The 7,195-nt window shown below is 63.5% G+C and overlaps 1 protein-coding gene across 5 annotated transcripts, besides 2 other annotated features; it reads left to right on the top strand.

Annotated features, from left to right (window-relative positions):
* Window positions 17–116: a silencer, noted in NCBI's record as "silent region_13983". NCBI's record gives its function as "represses an Ori minimal core promoter by ATAC-STARR-seq in GM12878 lymphoblastoid cells {active_cell/tissue: GM12878}" and the evidence as "EXISTENCE:reporter gene assay evidence [ECO:0000049][PMID:35858748]".
* Window positions 117–4,870, top strand: LMF2 (lipase maturation factor 2). Of its 5 annotated transcripts, none has more exons than NM_033200.3 (14): window positions 117–237; window positions 784–1,037; window positions 1,153–1,181; window positions 1,317–1,534; window positions 1,606–1,784; window positions 2,004–2,145; window positions 2,282–2,416; window positions 2,485–2,590; window positions 2,666–2,762; window positions 2,835–3,017; window positions 3,092–3,260; window positions 3,368–3,479; window positions 3,915–4,011; window positions 4,120–4,870. In NM_033200.3, the coding sequence occupies exons 1-14, from the start codon at window positions 144–146 to the stop codon at window positions 4,426–4,428; spliced, it is 2,124 nt and encodes a 707-aa protein (NP_149977.2). In that variant the 5' UTR covers window positions 117–143; the 3' UTR covers window positions 4,429–4,870. The 5 variants fall into 5 exon arrangements, with proteins under 5 accessions (NP_149977.2, NP_001350745.1, XP_006724489.1 ...); NM_001363816.2 differs by having other exon boundaries at window positions 715–1,037; XM_006724426.4 differs by having other exon boundaries at window positions 117–1,037; window positions 1,317–1,449.
* Window positions 337–386: an enhancer, noted in NCBI's record as "active region_19321". NCBI's record gives its function as "activates an Ori minimal core promoter by ATAC-STARR-seq in GM12878 lymphoblastoid cells {active_cell/tissue: GM12878}" and the evidence as "EXISTENCE:reporter gene assay evidence [ECO:0000049][PMID:35858748]".
* Window positions 4,871–7,195: the final 2,325 nt, after the last annotated feature.

Here is a 7,195-nt window from a genome sequence, read left to right as displayed (position 1 = left end):
CGGGCGGGCGGGCGGGCCGAGGAGGCGGGGCTTGGGGCTGCCACGGATTGGGCGGGCGGGGCGGTGAGGAGGCGGGGCCTGGGGCTGCCGCGGGCGGGCGGACGCGGAGGGCGGGCCCTGCTCTAGCGGGCCGCGTAGCGGACATGGCGGGCTCCCGGCTCCCGCGGCAGCTCTTCCTCCAGGGCGTGGCGGCCGTCTTCATGTTTGCTTTCGCTTCCCTCTACACGCAAATCCCAGGTGAAGGCACCCAGGGTGGGACACCCCCAGCCTCGGCGCGGGACCCTATGTCCTCTTTTCTCTGTGCCCGGCACTCACGCAGTCCGGGGTTGGGAGTGAGGGCCAGGCCTTGGCGTGGGGTAGGGGGCGGCGGTTCGTGTCCTGCAGGCCGCTGTGGGGGTAGGAAGGTGTGCGGTGATCCATTTCCCGTAAGGCTCTGGACTCTGACCTGGGGTGGGGGACAGAACTCTGAGAGAGGTGGGAGAGAGGCTTCCTCCCAGACCTGGTGGGACAGGTAGGAGATCGGGCTGAGACCTGGAAGAGGGCAGTGGGCTCTGCTGGGTGGGAGGCCCTGACTCAGGTAGTTGAGCAGGCCTCTAGCCCTGGGACGGGGTTTTGACAGGTCCCGACCTGGGGGACGGGCTCTGGAGGGACTGCAGACTCTGACCTAGGGATGGAGGTATCCGCATGCTCTGACCTAGGCTGGGGGATCTGCAGGCCCTGACTCAGAGGTAGTCTAGTCTGCAAGGGCTGTCCAGGGCCTGGCCATGACATGCCCTCCCACAGGCCTGTATGGCCCCGAGGGCATCCTACCTGCAAGGAGGACGCTGCGGCCTCAGGGCAAGGGGCGCTGGCAGCAGCTGTGGGAGACCCCGACGCTGCTGTGGGAAGCGCCGAGACTGGGGCTGGACACGGCCCAGGGCCTGGAGCTGCTGAGCCTGCTGGGTGCACTAGTGGCCCTGGGAGCCCTGCTGCTGAGCCCACTGCGCCACCCTGTCATCTACTTGCTGCTTTGGGCCGCCTACCTGTCAGCCTGCCAGGCAAGTGGGACCTGTGACCAGCTCACTCTATCTCCAACCCCCACCACCCACCCCTGCCTCTACCTTACCTGAGTCCACAGACACACCCGCTCCCTGACAGCCCCTCTCTCCGCAGGTGGGCCAGGTGTTCCTTTATTTCCAGTGGTGAGTGACGGCTGGGCCTGGGGCTGTGGGAGGCTGGGTAGGGGGTGGGGGAGGGCTCTGCCCTTCCTGGGAGGACTTTCCGAGGGAAGCAGCTGTGTGGGGAGGGGCTCTTGGTGCTATTTGCTCTCCCCATAGGGACTCCCTGCTGCTAGAGACTGGCTTCCTGGCCGTGCTGGTGGCCCCGCTGAGGCCAGCCTCCCACCGCAAGGAGGCCCCCCAGGGCAGGCAGGCAGGGGCCCTGCCCCACGAAGACCTCCCCTTCTGGCTGGTGCGATGGCTGCTGTTCCGCCTCATGTTCGCCTCAGGCGTGGTCAAGCTGACCAGCCGCTGCCCTGCGTGGTGGGGGCTCACTGGTGAGGGGCCCGGTCTGGACCTGGGGTAGTCTGGGGGCTCGGCCAGCCCTGACTCCTGCCCTCGCCTGCAGCCCTCACCTACCACTACGAGACCCAGTGCCTGCCCACGCCCGCCGCCTGGTTCGCACACCACCTGCCGGTCTGGCTGCACAAGCTCAGCGTGGTGGCCACCTTCCTAATTGAGATCGCTGTGCCGCCCCTGTTCTTCGCCCCCATTCGACGCCTGCGCTTGGCTGCTTTCTACTCGCAGGTGGGTGAGGGCCGCAGCTGTCAGAGAGAGGCAGACAGGGCTCGGCCTTCAGCGCTGCTCAGCGTGCCCTGTTGGGGACAGCGTGGCTCCCGGGGACAGCTGGCAACCGCTGTTGGGAAGGCCTTGTAGCAGAGGGATGCACCCTGCAGGGTGGAGGTGGGTGCCTGCCACGGGGCCAGGCGTCAGTCTCCGGGAGCACTGAGAGCGGGCCGCCCCCAGGTGCTGCTGCAGGTCCTGATTATCATCACCGGCAACTACAACTTCTTCAACCTGATGACGCTGGTGCTTACCACTGCGCTGCTGGACGACCAGCACCTGGCTGCTGAGCCTGGCCACGGCAGCCGCAAGAAGACGGCCACCTGTGCGTGTCACTTGTCCAGCCCCCTGCCCTCCCAGGGGTTCTCCCCTCCAACACCCCCACAGGACTCCCACTCTAGCTGCACCCCAGCCCCCTGGCTGGGGACCCTCTGCTGACCCATGACTGTCCTGCCCCACAGCCTGGCCCAAGGCCCTGCTGGCCACCCTGTCGCTGCTGCTGGAACTAGCCGTCTACGGGCTTCTGGCCTATGGCACTGTGCACTACTTTGGCCTGGAGGTTGACTGGCAGCAGCGCACCATCCACTCCAGAACCAGTGAGTGCCGACCTGGGGGGGCCAGAGGGCAGGGGCGGACCAGTCCTCACACCCCCCTCCTCCACCAGCTTTCACCTTCCACCAGTTTTCTCAGTGGCTGAAGACACTGACGCTGCCCACTGTGTGGCTGGGTGTGGCCTCCCTGGTCTGGGAGCTGCTGAGTGCCCTGTGGAGGTACATGGCCCAGGAAGCAGGGAGGGGGCACAGGTGTGCAGGGCCGGCCTGACGACCTTGGGTCCTTGCCCACAGGTGGACCCAGGTGCGGGGCTGGCTACGGAAGCTCAGTGCTGTAGTCCAACTGTCCCTTGTGGGCACTGCGACCGTGGCCTTGTTCCTGATTAGCCTGGTGGGTAGCGCTGCAGGGCTGGGGGATGGGCTGGGGGCAGGGCAGCCCTGAGAACCTCCCACCTGTCTCCAGGTGCCGTACTCCTACGTGGAGCCCGGGACCCACGGGCGCCTCTGGACCGGGGCCCACCGCCTGTTTGGTGCCGTGGAGCACCTACAGCTGGCCAACTCCTACGGCCTCTTCCGCCGCATGACTGGGCTTGGTGGACGGCCTGAGGTGGTGCTGGAGGGCAGTTACGACGGCCACCACTGGACGGTGAGCCCTCCCAGGGCGGGCAGGGTGGTGGGGCCCAGGTCAGCGGGCCCAGCTGACCTCGGCCTGCCTGGCAGGAGATCGAGTTCATGTACAAGCCTGGGAACCTGAGCCGGCCGCCCCCGGTTGTGGTGCCCCACCAGCCACGCCTGGACTGGCAGATGTGGTTTGCAGCCCTGGGCCCACACACGCACAGCCCGTGGTTCACAAGCCTGGTCTTGCGCCTGCTGCAGGGCAAGGAGCCAGGTGCGGAGCGGGCTTGGGGGGTGTGGAGTGGGCTGGGGTGGAGCGGGGTGGGGAGGGGAGGGGCAGGGCGGGTACTGTGGGGGCCACGCTGATGCCTCTCGCTGCAGTGATCCGCCTTGTCCAGAGCCAAGTGGCCAGGTATCCCTTCCACAAGCAGCCGCCCACCTACGTCCGAGCCCAGCGCTACAAGTACTGGTTCTCCCAGCCTGGGGAGCAGGGGTAAGGCTGGGCACCGGGTGGGGTGTGGAGCCCGGGGTGCAGGGGTAAGGCCGGGCACCGGGGGGTGTGGAGCCCGGGGTGCAGGGGTAAGGCCGGGCACCGGGGGGGGGTGTGGAGCCCGGGGTGCAGGGGTAAGGCCGGGCACTGGGGGGGGTGTGGAGCCCGGGGTGCAGGGGTAAGGCCGGGCACCGGGGTGGGGTGTGGAGCCTGGGGTGCAGGGGTAAGGCCGGGCACTGGGGGGGGTGTGGAGCCCGGGGTGCAGGGGTAAGGCCGGGCACCGGGTGGGGTGTGGAGCCCGGGGTGCAGGGGTAAGGCCGGGCACCAGGGGGGGATGTGGAGCGTGAGGAGCTGAGGAGCAGGGGTAAGGCTGGGCACTGGCGATGGGGTATGGAGCCCGGGGTGCCTCCAGCTTCTGAACATCGGGTCCTGCTGCAGCCAGTGGTGGCGGCGCCAGTGGGTGGAGGAGTTCTTCCCATCCGTGTCCCTGGGGGACCCCACGCTGGAGACGCTGCTCAGGCAGTTTGGACTACAGGTAAGGGGGTGTCAGCCAGGCTGGGGGAGGTGGCAGGGGTGACCCCAGCCTCCCGGGGTAAACCCAGTAAGCACTTCCCCAACCTCCCTCCCTCCCTCCCTCCCACAGGAGAAAAGCCCACCTCGCACCCGCAGCGCCAACAGCACCCTGGCCCAGGCCCTCCACTGGACTCGCTCTCAGCTGTCTCCCCTGGAGGCCCCCGCCCTGCTCTGGGGGCTCCTCATGGCCGTGGGGGCTGTCAGATTTGTGCAAGCCCTGCTAGCACCCTGTTCTCTCCGGTCCTCCCCGCTGGCACCAGTCAGCGGGGAGAAGCGCAGGCCAGCCTCCCAGAAAGACTCCGGAGCTGCCTCCGAACAGGCCACCGCAGCCCCCAACCCCTGCTCCAGTAGTTCGAGGACCACCCGGCGAAAGAAGTAGCTGTGTTCTCCCAGCTGCACGTCCTGAGAGGGCCAGGTCGCCGGGAGTGCTCTGGCCTCCGGCAGGACAGGACCCAGCCACTGTGCCTTAGCTGACCCTGCAGGGCCAGGCACAGGTTGGGGGGCTGCCCCTGGGGTTTGCAGGGTGCTGCATTGAGGGCTCCAGGCCCCACCCCCACGCCAGCCATGCCCCTCCCCAGGACTCCCACTATTGCCTCTGTGATTGGCCCAGGAGGAAAACACGACCAAGCTCAAGACCCTTCCCCTGCCCTGGGCTGTGGGGGTCTGAGTCTAGAGCCCCCAACCCTAGGCCCCGTGCCAGAGGGGAAGAGGCTGACTCCCAGGGGAAGAGGGGAAGCACTGTCATCTTCCACGTCATCTTCACACCAGCCCATCCTGCCCTTTAGATCTGGGCACCAATAAAGGCGTCTTTTGTGCTTGGCTGTGTGCCTGGTGCTGCTTTCCCAGGAGGCATGAGGATGGGATTGTCTCCCCTGCCCCAGGCAGTGGGCCGCCCAGAGCACAGTCAGGCTCCGCCACGGCGTGGCTCCCTGGGCACCCTCCTGCCCCGTCCTCAGCATTCTCTCTGAAGAGGCCTGGCTTGGTGTTGCCCACTGCCTGATCACAGAGGAGCCTCAGGCCTGGCACAGCCCGGTGGACCTGTCAGCTCCACACTCCAAGGTCGGTGGTGGAGCCGGTCCCTCACTTCCCTCCTGCTCCCACTTCTTGGCCTCAGGAAAGGACGGAAGGGCCAGAGTGGGCAAGGGGAGAAGGAGAGATGAGGTGGGCAGGTTAGAAGAGGCTCCTCTGCAGAGTGAGGCCAGGGGGAGGGTAGCTGGAGGCCCTGGGTTGGGACGGAGGAGGGAAGGTGCATCTGATGCCCCTGGCCTCCATCCTGGGAAGAGAACAGCAGCAGAGACAGCAGTCAGGGCACCGTCCAGGTTTCCATTTGGGGTCAGGTTATCAATCAGAGGTCACTGCCCACCCTGGAAACTCACAGCACAGCTTCCTCTGCCTCTGGCCCGTCCTCTTGGTACAGCCCCTGCCTCCTGGTCTCCTGCCAGACCCCTGGGCAGCTCCCAATGTACCCAGCTCCCTCATGTCACTGACCTCCATCTGGCCCACCCAGGCAGAGCCCTGTGCTCAAACACAGCCTGTGGCGTGAACTCTCAGATGTCTTCAAGGGGCTCCTATACATGGAATAAACAATCGAGAAGTCAGCCTTGGCTTAATAATAGGCTGGGCGCTGTGGCTCATGGCTGTAATCCCAGCACTTTGAGTGGCCGAGGTGGGTGGATCACCTGAGGTCAGGAGTTCGAGACCAGCCTGGCCAACATGGTGAAACCCAATCTCTACTAAAAATACAAAAATTAGCTGGGCATGGTGTCGGGTGCCTGTAATGCCAGCTACTCCACAGGCTGAGGCAGGAAAATCGCTTGAACCTGGGAGGCAGAGGTTGCAGGGAGCCGAGATCATGCCACTGCACTTCAGCCTAGACAACAGAGTGAGACTCCATCTCAAAAAAAAAAAGTAATATGTTTAAAACTAAAAAACCTGTTCCTAGGCTTCTTGGCTTTCTAGACAGGGTCTCACTCTGTTGCCCAGGCTGGAGCACAGTGGTGCAGTTGTGGCTCACTGCAGTCTCAGACTCCTGAGCTCAAATGATTCTCCTGCCTCAGGCTGCCATCACCACCCACACTCCCCTTGTTGCCCAGGCTGATGTTCCTGAGTTTTTTTTTTTTTGAGACGGAGTCTCGCTCTGTCACCCAGTCTGAAGTGCAGTGGCAGGATCTCGGCTCACTGCAAGCTCCACTTCCCGGGTTCGCGCCATTCTCCTGCCTCAGCCTCTCTGAGTAGCTGGGACTACAGGCGCCCGCCACCACACCTGGCTAATTTTTTGTATTTTTTTTTTAGTAGAGACGGGGTTTCACCATGTTAGCCAGGATGGTCTCGATCTCCTGACCTCGTGATCCGCCTGCCTCGGCCTCCCAAAGTGCTGGGATTACAGGTGTGAGCCACCGCGCCCGGCCTGATGTTCCTAAGCTTTCAAGCTCACTTGATGAATGCGTTCTGTGTTTTGTTTTGTGTAGCAGCTCTCTTGGTAAGCCACGTGCTACACAATTCACCCGTTCAAGTGCGCAATTCAGTGGCTTTCAGTTTATTCACAGAGTTGCACGTCTATCACCAGAGTCCATTTATTTACTTATTTAGAGATGGAGTCTCACTCTGTCACCCAGGCTGGAGTGCAGTGGCACAATCTCGGCTCACTGCAACCTCCACCTCCTGGGTTCAAGCGATTCTCCTGCCTCAACCTTGCAAGTAGCTGGGATTACAGGCGTGCACCACCACACCGGGCTAATTTTTGTAGTTTATTAGTAGAGATGGGTTTTCACTATGTTGGCCAGGCTGGTCTCGAACTCCTGACCTCAGGAGATCTGCCCACTTCGGCCTCCCAAAGTGCTGGGATTATAGGCATGAGCCACGGCGCCTGGCCCGGAGGCCATTTTAGAACCTTTCATCTCCAGAAGAAACCCCAAACCCTTTAGCCTTTGCCCTCTGACCCCTCCCTGCCAAGCCCTAAGCAACTATTCATCTACCTTCTGTCTCTGTGGATTTACCTACTCTGGATATTTCCTGTAAATTGGATCAGTAACATGGGACCTTTGTGTCTGGCTTCTTTCACTCAGCACGGTGTTTTCAAGGCCACACCCACGTCATAGCACGTATGAGCGCTGTGTTCCTTTAGGGCTGAGTCAGTCCAGTGTACG

The sequence above is a fragment of the Homo sapiens genome, chromosome 22, assembly GCF_000001405.40.
Source record: "Homo sapiens chromosome 22, GRCh38.p14 Primary Assembly".
NCBI classification, from domain to species: Eukaryota; Metazoa; Chordata; class Mammalia; order Primates; family Hominidae; genus Homo; species Homo sapiens.
The sequence above is the reverse complement of the archived record's forward strand: the minus strand, read 5'-3'. Positions and strand labels throughout refer to the sequence as shown.

Coding starts and splice junctions, on each gene's coding strand:
- LMF2 (NM_033200.3), top strand. CDS start 144: ATGGCGGGCTCCCGGCTCCCGCGGCAGCTCTTCCTCCAGGGCGTGGCG. Junction 1,535..1,605: donor TGCGTGGTGGGGGCTCACTG/GTGAGGGGCCCG, acceptor CCTCGCCTGCAG/CCCTCACCTACCACTACGAG. Junction 1,785..2,003: donor TGGCTGCTTTCTACTCGCAG/GTGGGTGAGGGC, acceptor GGCCGCCCCCAG/GTGCTGCTGCAGGTCCTGAT.